We start from the raw sequence: 19729 nt of genomic DNA, 5'->3' as shown, positions 1-19729 counted from the left end.
CCAGTTGAGAGAGAGGTGCTGCACACAGGCTGAACATACAACCCTGGGGAATGAATGTTGAGTAGGTTTGTTAGGAGCGGGGCCAGAGGAATGGAGAGGAGGAGTGGGCACAGGTGTGAGGGCCTGTGTTAAAAATAACCAGCAAGTCTCTAGTAGAGCCAGTAAGCGGGGCTGCCTCCACTTGACAATCAGACGTGGATATGCTATTCTGGCCAACGGGTTTACGCTGCCTACTGCTACCCGGGCCTGGAGATGGCTCTCACTGGTACCAGGATAAGTGTGGGAGTTGCAAACCGTGGGTTGGGCAAAGTTTTTTTGAAATGAACATTTCATTAACTTTCTATCTTAACCTCTCTTTGGAGGACTCAGTTCAGCCTCGTATTCTGGGACCTAAAATAACTTTTTCTTGCTGGATTTTTCTCAGGCTAGGAAGAAGTCTTACAAAATCACTGCCTCCCTACTCCCCCTAGCTCAAGATCATGTCACCAGCCCCAGTGCTGGGTAGGGATGTTTCTAATGGTTACAACCAGGGTCCTGGCTATTGTCTTTTTTGCCCTGTATATGTGAAGATTGTCCCCTGAGTCAGCAGACACTGAGGACCCACCCAGACCTCATGCCAGGTGTAGATAATGTAAGAGAGAAAGTGATCCTTTGATGGCTTCTTCCTTAAAAGAGGTACAGGCCGCATGCAGTGGCTCATACCTGCAATCCCGGCCCTTTGGGAGGCCAAGGCAGGTGGATCACTTGAGGTCAGGAATTTGAAACCAGCTCAGCCAACATGGTGAAACCCCGTCTCTACTAAAAATACAAAAATTAGCCGGGTGCGGCAGCACGTGCCTGTAATCCCAGCTACTTGGAAGGCTGAGGCACGAGAATCACTTGAACCCGGGAGGCAGAGGTTGGAGTGAGCCGAGATTGTGCCACTACAGTCTGGCCTGGGTGACAGAGCAAGACTCTGTCTCAAAAAAAAAAAAAAAAAAAAAGAGGTACAGGAGATAAAATTATAATATTAGATTAATGTTAATAATCACAATAGTGTGATTGGTACAATATGAGAGATTTAAGGAAAGTTCTATAGACATTCAGAGGCAAGATGACTAATTCTGCCAAATGGTACAGGAAGTGGGGTGGGGAAGGTGACATTTCATTTATTCATTTATTCAGAAAAGATTTATAGAGTGTCTTCCATATGCCAGGTGCTGTTCCAAGCACTTGGGATACTTCACTGAACCAAACAAAGATTCCTGCCTTGTGGAGCTGAGCTCCTGCAGGGACTGAGGGGATGAGTCATAGATAATAGCAATAAATGTAAATGAGAAAATTTTGTAGGCTGTTGGAAGGTGGTAAATGATCCAGGAAATGGGGTTAGATGCAGAAATGGCTGCACTGTTCTAAATATGCTTGGATAAGAATTGTGAAAGAGGAGTGAGCACATTCATTCCTAGCAGGGGATTTTCCTTGGCTGCCAGGGAACTCTGGAACCCCTGTTCATGGTGTGTACTTGGCTTACAGTCTGGCTGAAATCCTGGACTCCAGATTTAGCTCATGGCTCATTGCTGAGAGTTGTCTGAGTCTAAACCTCAGGGCCCTTTCCCTGTGCCCAGCTCCCCTTGACCATCATCCTGAGGTCTACTCAACTGTGGATCCAGCCGTCAGCCAGAGGGTCTACAGAGCACTGAACACTCATCCACTTCTGCCAGATTTTCTAGTAGTTGGAGGGAAGATGCTGCCTCTTATATCCAACAAATCTCCAGTAAGGGAGGCAAGGTCAAATGGGCAGTTCTCTGGCCATGGCCCTGGGTGTGGACTTGATGCTACCCACAATAAACAAGGCCCTCTCAGCCCTACCCAAGTAACATCAACTGGAACAAGGCTGGAGGTGACAGAGCACCGTGTCTCATGCAATTCTCAGAAAAGTGTGATTCCTATTTTCATGTTCAAGCTGGAGAAACTGAGGCTCAGAGAAGTCAAATCTCAAAGGGCCCCTCACTTTGATCTAGGAACAGTATTTCAGAGTGGTCAAGGCCTTGGGTCCTGGGGTTCAAAATCTGTCTCTACCACTTACCTGGGCAGGTTACTGGGTTCTTTATTCTATAGAGATTTAAGGAAACTCCTATAGAAACTAAGTAGGAATGATTGATTCTGCCAAGTGGTGTAGGAAGTGGGGTGGAGAAAGTGACCATTCATTCATTTATTTGGAAAAGGTTTATAGAGTGCCCTTGATATGCCATGTGCTGTTCTAAGCACTTGCTTCATTGAAGTACACACTTTGGCTTCTCTGTCCCCGAGGAGAGATAGCCTTGAGTGCACTGGACCCTGATGCTGTAGTTTGCCGGGCTGGGGCTCCTGCACACTGAGTACATTTTAATACCACATAGCTGAGGTCATCAGCACCAGCAGTAAGGAAACAGGTAATCCACAGAAATGTTAAACTTCTGCCACTTTTCAGAAAATATGAAAAGGTATAAAGAAAATAAAGATCAAATATTTTTCCACCATCTAAAACTACTGTTAACAATTTAGTGTAGGTTCTTACAGACTTTTCTGTGTGTGTGTGTGTGTGTGTGTGTGTTTGTGTGCATGCACTAGGTTGAACCTTATGAAATTGCCTTTTATATAAGTCAAAAACAGCCAAATTTTCATTTGATTCAATCAAACACAAGCATGTACACACAGACAAATACACACATATTTAAACAAAATGGGGCCATACCATAATACGGTTTTGTAGACTTTAATTTTTGTTTTCACCATGCTGGAGATCTAGAAATAATATATCACAGTGGTCCAGGCCATCCATGGGTTCTGGGTTCATGGGTTCAAAACCAGTTTCCACTGTGTGCTTACCTGGGTGGGCTACTGAGGTCTCCCTTTGCCAGGCTTTCCCTCTTGTACAGTGGGGATAGGCATATTACCTTCCATACCGGGTTGTGGTGAGGGCAGATGAATTACCACATATAAAGTGTTTAGACCAATGCCTTGACATGTATCATTCAGTCAATGTTAGTATCACTATAATTCCAGATGACCAGGGGGCGATGTATCATTTCATTGTGATCTGTCCTCTATTAATAACATTTTCCACTATTGGGGTGAAATCCTTGTGCATTCACCTAAGTATATGTATCCATTGGCTTACTTACTCTTTAAGGACTTAGGCTTTGAGGTTTTAGCTTTCAAGAATTCTTTTTGCTAATGTGTTTCAAGCTGGGTAGTAAGTACAGGGGAAGTTTCCTTGGGCGGCTGCCCTATGGCTCTATAAATTAGGCTTCCAGGTCATGGCCCTGGTCTTAGTCCATTCTTGCTGCTATAACAAAATACCATAGACTGGGTCTATAAACAATAGAAGCTTATTTCTCACAGTTCTGGGGGCTGGGAAGTCCAACATCACAGCGCCACCAGATTCAGTGACTGGCAAGAACCTGTTCCATAGATGGCATTTTCTCGCCGCATCCTCACATGGCAAAAAAAAAGGTAGAAGAGATGACTGGTGTGCCTTCGCATGCAGAAGAGGTAGAAAGGGCAAGCAGCTCTCCAAAGCCTCTTTTTTTTAAGAGACAGGGATTCACCATGTTACCCAGGCTGGCCTCAAACTCCTGGGCTCAAACGATCCACCTGCCTCAGCCTCTCAAAGTGCTGGGATTACAGGCATAAGCCACCACGCCCGGCCTCCAAAGCCTCTTTTATAAGGGCATTTGTCCTTATAAAAGACTTAATCATTTCCGAAAAGTCCCTACCTCTTCATACCATCACAATGGAGATTAAGTTTCAACATGAATTTTGGAGGGGACACACATATTTAAACTATAGCGCCCCATCTCTGCTTTTCTACTCACTAGAAACAGTGACTGTTCACCAGTCCCCAACTCTGGGCCTTGCTCACTTCTGTGGCTCAGTCATGCTGTCATCTCTACCTGAATGCCCTGGCAGGCCCCCTTTCCACACCAGCTTCTCAGCTGGTTAGGTTGGTTCTTCCTTCAGGCAGCCATCACCAATCCTTAAGCCTCAGATAGATGCCCACACCCCAGGCCTCCATACAGTCCATACCCACCAATCTCTCTCCTCTCACAAGGTGGACACAATGCCATCACTTTCTCCCCATCTAGACCTCACTCTGAAACCAGGACTAAGTCTTAGTGATCTGTGAGTTGACTTAATGCAACACTTGACCGGGTGCTCAATACACCTACCCAGGAGTTTGAGACCAGCCTGAGCAACAGAGTGAGACCCCATCTCTATAAAAACTTAAACAATGGTGGCTTATATTTATAATCCCAGCACTTTGGGAGGCCAAGGTGGGTGGATCACCTGAGGTCAGGAGTTCGAGACCAGCCTGGCCAACATAATGAAACCCCATCTCTACTAATTGTAAAAATACAAAAATTAGCTGGCCGTGGTGGCAGGTGCCAGTAATTCCCAGCTACTCAGGAGGCAGGCTGAGGCACTGCAGTGAGCCAAGATCACACCACTGCACTCCAGCCTGGGCGACAGAGCAAGACATCTCAAAAAAAAAAAAAAAAAATTAAACAAAAATACACCTATGTACAGACACAGAGGGATGAATATAGATTTGATGGATGAATTCAATGAATGAATAAAATCATAACTATCTGAATGAATGATGGAACTTAAATAAATGGAGATGGTTTTGGCAGGGTAGTTAATCTTGGTTAGAGAGGTGGCATGAAGAGAAGGCATGAGGGTCAAATTAGACAGGACGTATTTGGGAAAGGGAAGGACAGGAATGAATTCTAAGACTGGAAAGGCAAGTGGGGGCCGGATCTCCAGGCCTTGAGTGCCAGGCCAGGGAGTGGAGCAGTTTCCTCGTAAGCCCTGGATGTTTCTGACATGATTGGAGCTGTGCTTTAGAAAGGGGGCTTCCAGTGACGTTGTGGCCACCAGGAGACCAGTAGGCTGTCAGGCCTGGAGGCTTCGGTGGGGCTTACCCTGCCTGGGGCCTGTTGGATGACTCCCCCACGGCCAACACCCCTATACTTCTGAATCTCATAGCTCTTTTTCCCCCCACTCCCCTAAGGAAGGGCTCTTCTTCACCCCAAAGACAGAAGAAGTAGAAGGGAGAGTTTCTGGCAGCTTTGCTTTCTGAGGAAGTCACGTCACAGCCGTGCAGCCGATGATGAAATCCACCTCCGGAATTAGCAACAACCTCTCTTTCCACTTTAGAAAACTGATTAGCAAATCCTCCCCAGCTTGTTCTCACTCCCTGGGTCCAGAGCAGGGAGTATCCATCAGCGCCTCTGCCTGCCTGATTCCGTGGCCTCCAGAGTGTAACCACAGCCTCACCGCTCACTCCATCTCTTTTCTTTGGTTCTGACCTGAGATCAGCGAGGTCTGTGCTTTGGAGGTGTGCGTGTGTTTCTTTTACAAGGTCCAGCTCTGTCTCCCAGGCCGGAGTGCAGTGGCACGATCATAGCTCACTGCAGCGTTGACCTTCAGAGCTCGAGTGATCCTCCTGCCCTCAAGCGATCCTCCTGCCTCAGCCTCCTATGTAGCTATGACTATAGGCATGAGCCACCACACCCTAATTTTCTGATGTTTTGTAGACATAGGGTCTCACTACTCCCCAGGCTGGTCTGAAACTCCTAGGCTGAAGCAGTCCTCCCGCCTCGGCCTCCCAAAGTGCTGGGATTACAAGCGTGAGCCACTGTGCCCAGCCTCAAACACTTTACAAGCCAGAAAGGCAATGAGGAGGAGGAGAAGAGTTGGTTTGAGGACAAGGGAGAGGCTCTGGGGAGAACTGGGCTGGAGAAGAGGAGGCGGAGGCTGGCTTAGTTCCTTTCTCCAAGTGCCACTTGCCTGGTCCTTGAGTGCAGCTCCAGGCATCCTGTGCATTCCTCAAATCCTGAGCTCTCAGCCCTGACCTCGCTTCCTGTTTCACTGTGAAGAGAGACGATCTGTGAAAACTGGCACTGCCCTCACCCACATGTCTGCCTCCGTCTGTGTCTGTACTGTGGGATCTGGCCCAGCCTGCCCTCCTGCTGGGCACCAGGCCCCATTCCCATCCCTGCCACTCTCCCGTCCTCTCCTCATGCGCATGCAAATGCATTATTATGTCTCCCACTGGAAACAAGAAAACCTTGAGCCCACCTCCTCCCAGCGGCTGCCCTCTCTCTCTGTCCCTCTTCACAGCAGAAACCCTGTAGAGCACTCATTGCCTCCAGCTCCCAGCCTCCCCTTTCTCTCCTCGACCTACCATCAGAGGGGGAGAGCCTTTTTTTTTTTTTTTTTTTGCTTTTTTTTTTTGAGATGGAGTCCCGCTCTGTTGCCCAGGCTGGAGTGCAGAGGCACAATCTCAGCTCATTGCAACTTCCGTCTCCCAGGTTCCAGCGATTCTCCTGCCTCAGCCTCCCGAGTAGCTGGGATTACAGGCACGCACCACCACGCCTGGCTAAATTTTTTATTTTTATTAGAGACAGGCTTTCACCATGTTGGTCAGGCTGGTCTCAAACTCCTGACCTCAGGTGATCTGCCCGCCTTAGCTTCCCAAAGTGCTAGGATTACAGGCGTGAGCCACCACACCCAGCCAATTTCCTTTAAAAAATATATAGATAGATAGATAGATAGATAGATAGATAGATAGATAGATAGATAATTATTTATTTGACAATCTTGCTCTGTTGCCCAGGCTGGAGTGCAGTAACGCAGTCATAGCTCACTACAGCCTCCAACTCCTGGGCTCAAAGTGTCCTCTTGCCTCAGCCTCCCAAAGCATTGGGATTACAGGCACCAGCCACCATGCCCGGTCAAAATGCATTTCTTCATATGGCTTCCAGGGTGCCACAGTCTCCTGGCTTCCCCCAACCTCACAGGCTGTTTCTTTTCTATCTCCATCACTGATTCCCTCCTATCCTTATTTATTTATTTAGAGACCAGGTTTTAAGACTTGCAATGTTTGTATTTTTGGTAGAGACGGGGTTTCACTGTGTTGCCCAGGCTGGTCTCGAACTCCTGGGCTCAAGCAATCCTCCTTCCTTGGACTCCCAAAGTGCTGGGATTACAGGCATGAGCCACTGCCCGTACCTGGCCTCCTGTCTCTCCTGAACGTCGGGGTGTCCTCAGGCTGTCCCCAGACATCTCATCTGCACTCACTCCTTGGTGCTCTTATCCACTCTTACATTCCGTCCAAATTTATAAATGTAGCTCAGACCTGTTCTTTTTTTTTTTGAGACAGAGTCTCACTCTATCACCCAGGCTAGAGTGCAGTGGCATGATCTCAGCTCACTGCAGCCTTCACCTCCTGAGTTCAAGCAATTCTTCTGCCTTAGCCTCCCGAGTCAGCTGGGTGGCGTGCACCACCACATCTGGCTAATTTTTGTATTTTTAGTAGAGACAGGGTTTCATCATGTTGGCCAGGCTGGTCTCGAACTGGCCTCAAGAGGTCTGCCCACCTCGGCCTCCCAAAGTGCTGGGATTACAGGTGTGAGCCACCACACCTGGCCTAGCTTAGACCTTTTCTGAACTCCAGATGCGGCACAGCCCACTGCTCACCCACAGCTCCACTGGGATACCTGGTGGGTGTGTCATGTCTAACCTAGCCCCAAACCAACTCTCCCATGGGTCCCCCCAGCTTGTTAATGGCAGCTCAGTCCCTCTAGTTGCTCAGGCAAATCATCACGATGTTCTCCTTGACTCCTTCCTTCCTCACACCCCAGATCCAGAACATCAGATAATCCCATCAGCTCTAGCTTCAAAATAAATTCAGAGACCGACCACGTCTCGACACCTCCTCTGCCTCCACCATCAATTCTGTCCTGATTGAAGGCAGCAGAGTCTTCACTGTGGTCCCTGCAGCCACACTGGTCCCTGCAGTCTGTTCTCAGCACAGCAGCCAGAGGGATCCTATTGAATCAGATCGTTTTACCGCTTTGCTCAAAACCTTCCAGGGAGGCCAGGCACACTGGCTCACCTGTTAATCTCAGCAATTTAGGAGGCCAAGGCAGGAGGATCGCTTGGGGCCAGGAGTTCAAGACCAACCTGGGCAACATGGCAAGACCCCGTCTTTACCAAAAACCGCAAAAAACAAAACCACTTCCAGTGGCCCCAGTCTTATGTGGAACAAAGGTCAGTCCTCACCATGAGCCACGAGGCCTCTAGGGATTTGGCCCCTCCTGCCCCTGACTTCCGGCTCTAGCCATACTTCCTCGCGCCTGCCAGCTGGGCTTCTGCTCGTGTGCCTAGAACTCTTCCCCCAGGTGTGTACCAGGCTCACTTCCTCTTCATGTTATTTATTTTTTGAGACAGGGTCTCACTCTGCTGCCCAGGCTAGAGTGCAGTGGCCCTATCGTAGCTCACTGCAGCCTCAAACTCCTGGGCTCAAGCCATCCTCCCACCTCTGCCACCAAGCCAGGCTAATTTTTTCATTTTAAATTTTTTTGTAGAGACAGGATCTTGCTATGTCACCCTGACTGTTCTCAAGCTCCTGGTCTCAAGCAGTCCTGCCTCCTCGGCCTCCCAAAGTGCTGAGATTTTAGGTGTGAGCCACCACGCCAGCCTCTCGTCACTTTAAAGTCTGTATCCCTCTGTCACCTCAGTACAGCCTTTCTCAGTGACCCTTTGGGAGGTTATAATGCTGCCTAGAACACTCCAGCCCTATCCTTGCCCTTATCTTTCTTCCATAGCACCTCTCGCCATCCGATTTGTTTACTGCTTGTCTCCCCTGCTAAAATATAAGCTCCGTGAGGACAGAGATCGTCATCTCTGTTCCTTGCTGTTTTATTTTGGTTTTGTTTATTTATTTGTTTGTTTGTTTGTTTTTGAGACAGAGCCTCACTCTTTCACCCAGGCTGGAGTGCAATGGTGCTATCTCAGCTCGCTGCAACCTCTGCCTCCCAGGCTCAAGCAATTCTTGTTCCTCAGCTTCCCGAGTAGCTGGGACTACAGGCATGCACCACCACCCCTGGCTAATTTTTGTATTTTCAGTAGAGACTGGTTTCACCATGTTGGCCAGGCTGGTCTCGAACTTCTGACCTCAAGTGACCCACCCACCTTGGCCTCCCAAAGTGATGGGATTACAGGCATGAGCCATTGTGCCTGGCCTTTTTTTTTTTTTTTTTTAAAGACATGGTCTTGCTCTGTTGCCCAGGCTGGTGTACAGTGGCGCAATATTGGCTCACTGCAACTTCTGCCTCCTGAGCTCAGGTGATCCTCCCACCTCAGCCTCCCAAGTAGCTGGAACTATAAGCATGCACCACCACGCCTGGATAATTTCTTGTATTTTTGTAGAGACAGGGTTTCACCATGTTGCCCCCAGCTGGTCTTGAACTCCTGGGCTCAAACAATCCACCCACCTTGGCCTCCCAAAGCGCTGGGATTACAGGCATGAGCCACCGCACCCTCACTGTATTTCTAGAGTAGTGCCAGGCATATGATAGGCCTTCCAGAAATATATGTCGAATGAATGAGTGAATATGAAAACAATTCAGAGCAGTTGTTCCCTGAGTTTAGGGAAGACCAGAGAGAGATCTGGGTGGCCCCTAAGAATCTGTTACCCGTGATCACGGTGAAACAGAAATAGATGACAGAGAGCAGGGGTGGTATCTTTTAGAAGAAAATAGGTGACCATCTATACTGGGCCAGTTCTATAGTTAGCAAGATGACATGGGAGGAGAGCTATTTTTCTGAGCTTTATGTAACAGATGTGGTTTTGTATAAATCACACTTCTGTAAACTGAATCCTCTCTTAAATGTACTAACGGAGATTGCTATTTAAGGGTATCGAATGCCAATGTCTTCTGTGAAATGAATAATAATCTCCTAATTTGGCCTTAGTGGCAATTCACATTTTCCAGAAAAAAATTTACTTACATCAAGGTATACTTGTCTGAGCTGAGAAACTGACTTCATTCTTCACATTTCCACCATCTTTATTCTTTGCTCTCATTCTTCCTTTTTGTTACTGTTTTTCTTCTCTTTTTTTTTTTTTTTTGAGACAAAGTCTTGCTCTGTCGCCCAGGCTGGAGTGATCTCGGCTCACTGCAACCTCTGCCTTCTGGGTTTAAGCAATCCTCCTGCCTCAGACTCCCGAGTAGCTGGGATTACAGCAGGCACACGCCACCACACCTGGCTAATTTTTGTATTTTTAGTAGAGATGGGGTTTCACCATGTTGGCCAGGCTGGTCTCAAACTCTTGACCTCAAGTGATCCGCCCACCTGGGCTTCCCAAAGTGCTGGGATTACAGGCATGAGCCACTGTGCCCGGCCACTGTTTTTACTTTTAGCTGAATTTTTTCTTAGACTCTGACATACAATGTTCTTCTGTAACATCACCTGAATTAACAGTGCCATGGGCCCTTCCGAGCCCAAATGAGTCCAATTTGGGGGTGGAGCAAAGGAATCTAGGGGTGTGTGTACAAACTCGGGGTACAGGATTCTCAGATGATATCCCGGCCTAGCCAAGTCTGGGAACCACTGACCAAAGGCTTTCTTTCTACACACAGCGATTCCTGCAGAAATAGAACAAAAGGTGGGATGTCAAGGATGTTGGGTGGGAGGCCAAGGTGGGAGGCTCACTGGAGCCCAGGAGGTTGAGACCAGCCTGGGCAGCATAGTGAAACCCCATCTCTACAAAAAAACTTGGAAGAAAAAAAAAAGGATGTGCTCAAGGGAGAGGCATCAGGTTTTCTAGTGCTGGGATGTGGCTGGGGCTTGGCTCATTCACTTGACAGAAAGGTCACTTCTAGAAATTGGACACTGCAAGAGACCCAGAGCTGGATAAGGGATGGTTCCCGTGCTGGGGGATCTCCTGTAAGTCAGGCATCACCCACCTTGAGTCTTCAGATCATTGGAGATAAGTAGCAGTATATTAATAAAAGAGAAGAGACAAAACTAACCTCACTGTTAGAAAGCTGGGGAAACAGCTGGGTGCGGTGGCTCATGCCTGTAATCCCGGCACTTTGGGAGACTGAGGAGGGCAGGTCACCTGGGGTCAGGAGTTCAAGACCAGCCTGGCCAACATGGTGAAACCCCCATCTCTACTGAAAATACAAAAATTAGCCACGTGTGGTAGCTCACACCTGTAATCCCAGCACTTTGGGAGGCTGAGGCAGATGAAACACTTGAGGTCAGGAGTTTGAGACCAGCTTGACCAACATGGTGAAACCCTGTTTCTACTAAAAATATAAAATTAGCCAGAGTTGGTGGCACGTGCCTGTAATCCCAGCCACTCGGGAGGCTAAGGTGTGAGAATCGCTTGAACCCAGGAGGTGGAGGTAGGTAGCAGTGAGCCGAGATCACACTACTGCACTCCAGCCTGGGTGACAGTGAAACTGTGTCTCAAGAAAAAAAATGAAAGAAAGAAAGCTGGGGCAACGAGAGGGTGGTAGAGGGCATGAAGAGAGGAAGTTGGGCAATGCTGGTGGTTTGTGGGGAGGGCGCAGCCCAGGGTTTCCCACTCTTGCTGACAAGCTGCCTATCCGGAAGGCTTCCCCCGGGAGCTCTGGCCAGGGCCATTACGAAAGGCCACTCCAGTCTGGCTCTGTGAATAGTGAAAGATCAGGATATGTCTGGTGGATTTACCCAAGGCTGCGCTTTCTAGGGAGGGTGACTTGCCCAACCAGTGACTATGATGAATGGGGAATGAGCCCTCTGGGTGCAATACCTGCCAGCGTGACTTTGCAGTTTGGGGTGCTAGGGAAGCAGAACCAAGGTTTCCTCCATGACGACAGGAGCAGCAGCCTTACAAGGGAGGAGCCCCTTTCGAAGCCACAGCTCCCTGTGGGTGAGAGGAGGGCATATGGGCCCGCTTCTCCTTTTCCCCAAGGCCTGGTGTCCGAGTCTCTTACCCTGTGCCCTACATTCCAGGCCCCTTTGAAAGCCTAAGTGGGCACCCCGAAGGTCATCACAGATGTTCTCTTATGGAGGGAGGCAGCTGGCATACGGGGAAAAGGAGACCAAGAAACCAAGACTCACGCAAGGAACCAGGCTGAGGCTGGGCGCGGTGGGTCACGCCTGTAATCCCAGCACTTTGGGAGGCCGCTGCAGGAGGATGGCTTGAGGCCAGGAGTTCGAGACCAGCCTGGGCAACACAGGGAGATCCTCACCTCTACAAATAATAAAAAATTAGTGGCTGGGTGCGGTGGCTCACGCTTGTAATCCCAGCACTTTGGGAAGCCGAGGCAGGAGGATCACCTGAGGTCAGGAGTTCAAGACCAGCCTGGTCAACATGGTGAAACCCCGTCTCTACTAAAAACTACAAAACAAATTAGCCGGGAGTGATGGTGGGTGCCTGTAATCGCAGCGACTTGGCAGGCTGAGACAAGGGAATCGCTTGAGCCGGGGAGGCGGAGGTTGCAGTGAGCTGAGATCACGCCATTGCACTCCAGCCAGGTGACAGAGCAAAACTCCATCTCAAAAAAAAAAAAAAAAAAAATTAGCTGGGTGTGGTGGCATGCACCTGTGCTCCCAACTATTTTGGGAGGCTGAGGTGGGAGGATTGCTTGAGCCCAGGAGGTCGAGGCTGCAATGAGCCATGATTGCACCACTGCACTCCAACCTGGGCAACAGAGCAAGACCTTGTCCAAACAAAAAAAAATAGTCATCTAAATGTAGTTACTGTTGTTCCCAGCATCAGTTAGATCAATCACTGTGCCTGACATATACCTCCCTGGTAAACATGAGGAGGAGGACACAGGCTCAGGCACCAGCATGCCTTACCCCAAAGTGATGGCCAGTAATCAGCCTCTGTATGTGTGGACATCCACCCTCATAGGCTGCCCTGCCTAGTCCAGGGGCCAGCAAACATTTTCTGCAAAGGGCCAGATGGTAAATGTTTTTGGCTTTGTGGCTTCCTGCTGCTACTATTTCTTCCTCCTCCTCGTCCTCCTCCTCTTCCTCCTCCTCCTCCTCCTCCTCCTCCTCCCCACCCTTAAAAAGCCAGGCATGGTGGCTAGCGCCGGTAATTCCAGCACTTTGGGAGGCTAAGGTGGGAGGATCGCTAGAAGCCAGGAGCTCAAGACCAGCCTGGGCAACAAAGTGAGACCCGGTCTCTACAAAAAAAAATTTTTTAATTAGCCTGGCGTGGTGGTGCGCACCTGTAGGCCCACCTACTTGGGAGGTGGAGGTGGGACGATTGCATGAACCCAGGAGTTCAAGGCTGTAGTGAGCTATGATCGTACCACTACACTGCAGCCTGGGCAACAGAGCAAGACTCTGTCCCTAAACAAGAACACAAAAACCAGTCCTAGCTCACAGGCCATGCACAAGCAGGCTGAGGCCAGGTTTGGCTGGTGGGCGGTGGTTTGGACCCCTAGCAGCCTGTCCTTTCTCATTCTTGTCTAGGACGATGTTACGAGATACTTTGTTTTTGTTTTTGTTTTCTTTTCTTTTCTTATCTTTTCTTTTTTTTTTTTTTTTTTTTTGAGACAGAGTCTTACTCTGTCGCCCAGGCTGGAGTGCAGTGGTGTGATCTCAGCTCACTGCAACCTCCACATCCCAGGTTCAAGCGATTCTCCTGCCTCAGCCTGCTGAGTAGCTGGGACTACAGGTGCGCACCATCACACCCAGCTAATTTTTGTATTTTTAGTAGAGACGAGGTTTCATCATATTGACCATGCTGGTCTCAAATTCCTGACCTCAGGTGATCCGCCTGCCTCAGCCTCCCAAAGTGCTGGGACTACAGGCATGAGCCACCGCGCCTGGCCATTTTTTGTTTGTTTTTGTTTTTGTTTTTTGAGACAGAGTCTCGCTGTGTCACCCAGGCTGGAGTGTAGTGGCACAATCTCGGCTCAACTGCAACCTCCACCTCCTGGGCTCAATCGATCCTCCACCTCAATCTCCTAAAGTGTTGGGATTACAGGCATAAGCACAGTCAGAGGAGAAGGAAGGAAAGGACAGGAAGGAGTAGTACAGTCTTTGTCCCTTTGAGGACAAGATCCACCTTTTTTAAGGGTGGGGAGTCAGGGTCTCCATCTGTCATTCATGATAGAGTGCAGTGGCACAGTCATAGCTCACTGCAGCCTCCAACTCCTGGGCTCAAGCAATCCTCCTGCCTCAGCCTCCCAAGTAGCCACCACTACAGATATACCACCATCCCCAGCTAAATTTTCATTTTTTGTAGAGATGGGGTCTTACCATGTTGCCCAGGCTGGTCTTGAACTCCAGGCCTCAAGTGATCCTCCTGCCTCGGCCTCTCAAAGTGCTGGGATTCCAGGCATGAGCTGCCACACCTGGCCACAGGGTCCACTTCCTATCATCTGTGTGCTCTCTCACAGCCCCTGGTGTGGTGCCCTGGATCCTGGCAGCCATGTGCAGGTGCATGGCTGTCCACAACTGTCTGTGAAAGGCCCTCTTGTGGTTGTATGGCAAAGAGCCTTACTATCTGTGTGGCAGCCTTGCCCTGCGTGTAGTAGGTATTCAGTAAAATCAGTTTCTCAGGCCAGCGTGGTGGCTCATGCCTGTAATCCCAGCACTTTGGGAGGCCGAGGCAGGTGGATCACTTGAGGTCAGGAGTTCGAGACAAGACAGGCCAACATGGTGAAACCCCGTCTCCACTAAAAATACAAAAATTAGCCAGGCGGGGTGGTGGGTGCCTGTAATCCCAGCTATCAGGAGGCTGAGGCAGGAGAATCACTTGAACCCGGGAGGCAGAGGTTGCAATGCGCCGAGATCGCGCCACTGCACTCCAGCCTGGGTGACAGAGTGAGACTCCGTCTCAGAAAAAGAAAAAAAAATCAGTTTCTCAGTGTTTTTTATCTTTTTTTTTCCTGTGACAAAATACATATAACATGAAATTCGCTATTGTAACAAATTCAAGTGTATAATTAAGCAACATCTGGCACATTCGCTATGTCGTGCAACCGACATGACTGTTTAATTTCAGAACATTTTCACTATCCGTAAAGGAAACCCTGTTCCCATTAAGCAATCACTCCCCACCCCTCTCCTACCAGGCCCCAGTGGCCACCAGTCAGCTCTCTGTCTCTATGGATCTGCCCATTCTGAGCACTTCATACAAATAGAATCACACATTGTGTCCCATTTCATGTCTGGTTTCTTTCATGTAGCATGTTTTGGAGGCTTATCTACCTTGTAACTGTGTGTGTGTGTGTGTGTCTATGTGTGTGTGTGGTGGTAAAATATACATACCATAAAATTCACCATTTTAGGGCCCAGCGCATGGCTCATGCCTGTAGTCCCAGCACTTTGGGAGGCTGGGACAGCCAAAGCGCTTGAGCCCAGGAGTTTCAGACCAGCCTGAGCAACATAGTAAGACCCCGTCTCTACAAAAATTAGCTGGGTGTGGTGGCATGTGCCTATAATCCCAGCTACTCAGGAGGCTGAGGCAGGAGGATCACTTGAGGCCAGAAGTTTGAGACCTGCCTAGGCAACACAGTGAACCCCATTTCTACAAAGGAATTTAAAAATTAGCCAGGTGTGGTGGCATACACCTGTCGTCTCAGCTATCTGGGAGGCTGAGATGGGAGGATTGCTTGAACCCAGGAGGTTAAGGTTGTAGTGAGCCATGTTTGCACCATTGTACTCCAGCCTGGGCAACAGAGGGAGACCCTGCCTAGGCAACATAGCAAACCCCATCTCTACAAAAGAATTTAAAAATTAGCCAGGTGTGGTGGCATGCACCTGTCGTCTCAGCTGCCTGGGAGGCTGAGATGGGAGATTGCTCGAATCCAGGAGGTTGAGGCTGTAGTGAGCCACGTTTGCACCACTGTACTCCAGCCTGGGCAACAGAAGGTGAGGCAGACAGTAGGGTGGAGGACGTTGGTTGGCAACAGGTTTGTGTTGGACCCTGGCAGTTACAGAAGGCAGCACGGTGTGGGAGAGGAGGCGCTCTCAGATGGACCTGGGTTTGAATTCTGGCTCCACTTCTTGCTGGCTGTACTACTTGCAAGTAGCTTGTCTTGGAAAATAGGGGCCCAGATTTCTTGCCCTCTAGGGACCAAAGGCGGATGAGAAGTAAATTACCAGTGCAGTGCCTGGGAGGAGGAAGAGGCCCAAGTGAGGGTCAGTGGCTCCTGCTACTACCACTAATCTGGTGACAATGGCTCTATGATGATTATTATTATTTTTGATCAAGAGAAGAATTAAAAAGACCCTGATGTTGGGCAGCAAATTCCAAGTGTTGTAGCTAGGACCAGAGCAGTCTCACGGAGCACAGAAGGCTCCCCACGGTGGGGACGCTCTGTTTGGCTTTCATGCCTCACCTGTCCCTCTACTCTCCCAGGCTCACCTGATCTCCATTTGGTTCTGTACTCTCCCTGTCATCCTCACTCAGGTGGTAGGTCCCAGCTGTTAACCTGAGCTATTGCCACCTGTACTGCAACCTGCCATGGCCAATTTTCTTTTCTTTCTTTCTAGTTTTCTTTTCTTTCTTTTGTGTGCATGTGTGTGTGTGTGTGTGTGTGACCCAAGTTGGAGTGGTGCAGTGGTATGATCATAGCTCACTGCAACCTTGAACTTCTGGGCTCAAGCCATCCTCCCACCTCAGTCTCCTGAGTAGCTGGGATTACAGGCACCTGCCACCATGCCCAGCTAATTTTTGTATTTTTAGTAGAGACGGAGTTTCACCATGTTGGCCAGGCTTGTCTTGAACTCCTGGCCTCAAGTGATCTGCCTGCCTCGGCCTCTCAAAGTACTGGGATTACAGCCTCTTTTTAAAAAAATTATTATTATTATTATTTGAGATGGAGTTTCACTCTTGTTGCCCAGGCTGGAGTGCAATGGCACGATCTCAGCTCACTGCAACCTCCATCTCCTGGGTTCAAGCGATTCTCCTGCCTCAGCCTCCTGAGTAGCTGGAATTACAGGCGCCCACCACCAGGCCTGGCTAATTTTTGTATTTTTAGTAGAGATAGGGTTTCACCATGTTGGTCAGGCTGGTCTTGAACTCCTGACCTCAGGTGATCCACCCGCCTCGGCCTCCCAAAGTTCAGGGATTACGGGCATGAGCCACCGCGCCCAGCCTTTATTTTATTTTTTTTGTGAGACAGAGTTTCTCTCGTCACCCAGGCTGGAGTGCAGTGGCGCGAATTCGGCTCACTGCAACCTCCACCTCGTGGGTTCAAGTGATTCTCCTGCCTCAGCCTCCTGAGTAGCTGGGACTACAGGTACGCGCCACCACCCCTGGCTAATTTTGTATTTTTAGTAGAGATGGGATTTCACCATGTCGGCCAGGCTGGTCTGGAGCTCCTGACTTTGGGTGATCCGCCCACCTCCGCCTCCCAAAGTGCTGGGATTACAGGTGGAGCCACCGTGCCCGGCCTCCTCTGCCTTTGTTTTGCCCTTCTCCTTTCCCATCTGTGCTGCCTGTTCTCAGGTTTTCCTTCTCTGGCCCCTTGCCTGGGGACCTGCCACCCCCACCCGGGGCACATCCCCGTGCCTGCTCCTGCCGTGGGACCTTTGTGAGCCAGCCTGGCCTTGGCAGCCCGAGGGCTGGGCTTCTGCCAAGAGCTGTGTGTATGTGACCTGACAGTGTCCAACTGGGCCCACAGGCCAGGCCCAGGCCCAGCTCCCCACACAAGCAAGGCCAGAGGGTTTCCCATTGGCCACTGCCTGGCTGGGCTGTCCCAGGCGAGCGGAGGATGGGGAGTGCTGGGGAGGGAGGAAGAGAGGCTGGGAGAAAGGCGCCCTTCCTGCGGTGCCTGCTGGTAATTGGCTCTCCGGAACCAGCCGGGGACACGAGGGCCTGCTGGGTCAGGAAGTGGTGGACAATGCCACCCTTTCAGGGGAGACACGGCTTGGTCTTAGGTCCTGTGTGACTCCAGGGAAGTCCAGAGAACAGCCTGTTCTCAGATGATGTTCCCTAACCCAGAGCCCCCTCCAGAGGTGAGACACCCAGCCCCGCACTGCCCGCCCTTGGTGCTGGGAGGGGCCCCCAGGCATTGGCCTGTGGCGGGGCGGGAACAGTTCAGAACCAAATGATGTCCTTCAGAGAGCCTGGGGCCGGGAGGGGAAGGGAGTAGATTTTCTCAAGAGACTGTGAATCACATACCTGGGACTTTTTTTTTTCTTTTTTTTTTTTTTTGAGACAGAGTCTCACTCTGTCACCCAGGCTGGAGTGCAGTGGCACCATCTCAGCTCACTGCAGCCTCCGCCTCCCCAGTTCAAGTGATTCTCCTGCCTCAGCCTCCCAAGTGGCTGGGACTACAGGCACGCACCACCATGTCTGGCTACTTTTTGTATTTTTGGTAGAGACAAGGTTTTGCCATTTTGGCCAGGCTGGTCTTGAACTCCGAACCTCAAGTAATCCGCCCATCTCAGCCTCCCAAAGTGCTGAGATTACAGGTATGAGCCACCGCACCTGGCGTACCTGGGACTCTTTCTAAAAAAATTTTATAGAACAGGCGCAGTTCAAGACCAGCCTAGCCAACATGGTAAAACCCTGTCTCTACTAAAAAAAAAAATACAAAATACAAAAATTAGCTGGACATGGTGGCGGGCACCTGTAATCCCAGCTACTGGGGAAGCTGAGGTAGGAGAATCACTTGAACCTGAGAGGCAGAGGTTGCAGTGAGCCAAGCTCACACCACTGCACTCCAGCTTGGGAGACAAATGGAGTGAAACTCCCATCTCAAAAAAAAAAGTATATATATATTTTATATAAATAATATATAAAATTTTAATATATATAAATATATATATATATTTTTTAATAGTGATGGGATCTTACCATGTTGCCCAGGCTGGTCTTGAACTCCTGGTCTCAAGAGATCCTCCTGCCTCGGCCTCTCAAAGTGCTGGGATTACAGGCATGAGCCACCATGCCTGGCCTCTACCTGGTACACTTTAGAGGCGAGAGTGCTGGGAAGCAGCCAGTCCTGATGACTTATGGACTTATGACCTGCCTTCGCGACTGTGGGCCTACAGGAAAGGAGAAGGCAGGGTCCTTGTGCTTGGGATTCTAGTCTGGGTAGGGAGGGAAGGTAATACTCAGTGTCAAACGTATTAAGAGAAATAGGAATTCAAAAAAAGAGAAAAAAAAGGCCAGGTGCGGTGGCTCACAACTGTTATCTCAGTACTTTGGGAGGCTGTTGGGGGAGGGTCACTTGAGCCTGAGTTCAAGACCAGCCTGGGCAACACAGGGAGACCCCATCTCTACAAAAAATACAAAAAAATTAGCTGGGTGTGGTGGCACATGCCTGGAAGTCCCAGCTTCCCGGGAGGCTAAGGCTGGAGGATCACTTGAGCACAGGCGTTCAAGGCTGCAGTGAGCTATAATCACATCACTGCACACCAGCCTGGGTGACAGAACAGGACCCTGTTTCTTATAAAAAAAAAAAAAAAAAAAGGGCTGGATGAGGTGGCTCATGCCTGTAATCCCAGCACTTTGGGAAACTGAGACAGGTGGATTACCTGAGGTCAGGAGTTCAAGACCAGCCTGGCCAACATGGCGAAACCCTGTCTCTACTAAAAATACAAAAATTAGCCAGGTGTGGTGGTGTGGGCCTATAATCCCAGCTACTCCGGAGGCTGAGGCAGGAGAATCACTTGAATTCAGGAAGCAGAGGTTGCAATGAATCAAAATTGTGCCACTGCACTCTAACCTGGGCAACAGAGCAAGACTTTGTCTCAAAAAAAAAAAAAAAAAGAAAAGAAGAGAAAAGAAAGAAGGAAGAGAGAAAAATACATTGTTGGCCTGAGTAGCTTGGTTAAGTCTTAAAAAAATAAAGGTACCTTGGGAGGCCGAGGCGGAAGATCATGAGGTCAAGAGATCGAGACCATCCTGGCCAATATGGTGAAACCCCGTCTCTTCTAAAAATAT

The 19729-nt window shown here is 49.5% G+C and overlaps 1 protein-coding gene across 8 annotated transcripts in view, besides 4 other annotated features; it reads left to right on the top strand.

The window, feature by feature from the left end:
* Window positions 1–19729, top strand: part of HIP1 (huntingtin interacting protein 1) — a 205644-nt gene that overhangs the window by 109483 nt on the left and 76432 nt on the right. For 2 of the 8 annotated variants that reach the window (XM_047420294.1, NM_001382445.1), the window contains exon 1: window positions 17643–17793. The exons of 5 other annotated variants lie outside the window; for them this stretch is intronic. In XM_047420294.1, coding sequence (XP_047276250.1) covers window positions 17761–17793 — 33 coding nt within the window. In that variant the 5' untranslated portion in view covers window positions 17643–17760. Of the gene's footprint in view, window positions 1–7544; window positions 8080–17642; window positions 17794–19729 lie in introns of those variants that run through there. One more of the 8 variants, XM_017012099.2, reaches the window with a different exon arrangement.
* Window positions 4365–5318: an enhancer, noted in NCBI's record as "H3K27ac-H3K4me1 hESC enhancer chr7:75253459-75254412 (GRCh37/hg19 assembly coordinates)". NCBI's record gives its function as "activates a minimal SCP1, AML or CMV promoter by ChIP-STARR-seq in primed H9 embryonic stem cells {active_cell/tissue: H9 hESC(primed)}" and the evidence as "EXISTENCE:reporter gene assay evidence [ECO:0000049][PMID:30033119]".
* Window positions 5319–6272: an enhancer, noted in NCBI's record as "H3K27ac-H3K4me1 hESC enhancer chr7:75252505-75253458 (GRCh37/hg19 assembly coordinates)". NCBI's record gives its function as "activates a minimal SCP1, AML or CMV promoter by ChIP-STARR-seq in primed H9 embryonic stem cells {active_cell/tissue: H9 hESC(primed)}" and the evidence as "EXISTENCE:reporter gene assay evidence [ECO:0000049][PMID:30033119]".
* Window positions 11637–12138: an enhancer, noted in NCBI's record as "H3K27ac hESC enhancer chr7:75246639-75247140 (GRCh37/hg19 assembly coordinates)". NCBI's record gives its function as "activates a minimal SCP1, AML or CMV promoter by ChIP-STARR-seq in naive H9 embryonic stem cells {active_cell/tissue: H9 hESC(naive)}" and the evidence as "EXISTENCE:reporter gene assay evidence [ECO:0000049][PMID:30033119]".
* Window positions 17427–18000: an enhancer, noted in NCBI's record as "H3K27ac-H3K4me1 hESC enhancer chr7:75240777-75241350 (GRCh37/hg19 assembly coordinates)". NCBI's record gives its function as "activates a minimal SCP1, AML or CMV promoter by ChIP-STARR-seq in primed H9 embryonic stem cells {active_cell/tissue: H9 hESC(primed)}" and the evidence as "EXISTENCE:reporter gene assay evidence [ECO:0000049][PMID:30033119]".

This window comes from Homo sapiens, chromosome 7 (genome assembly GCF_000001405.40).
Source record: "Homo sapiens chromosome 7, GRCh38.p14 Primary Assembly".
NCBI classification, from domain to species: Eukaryota; Metazoa; Chordata; class Mammalia; order Primates; family Hominidae; genus Homo; species Homo sapiens.
The sequence above is the reverse complement of the archived record's forward strand: the minus strand, read 5'-3'. Positions and strand labels throughout refer to the sequence as shown.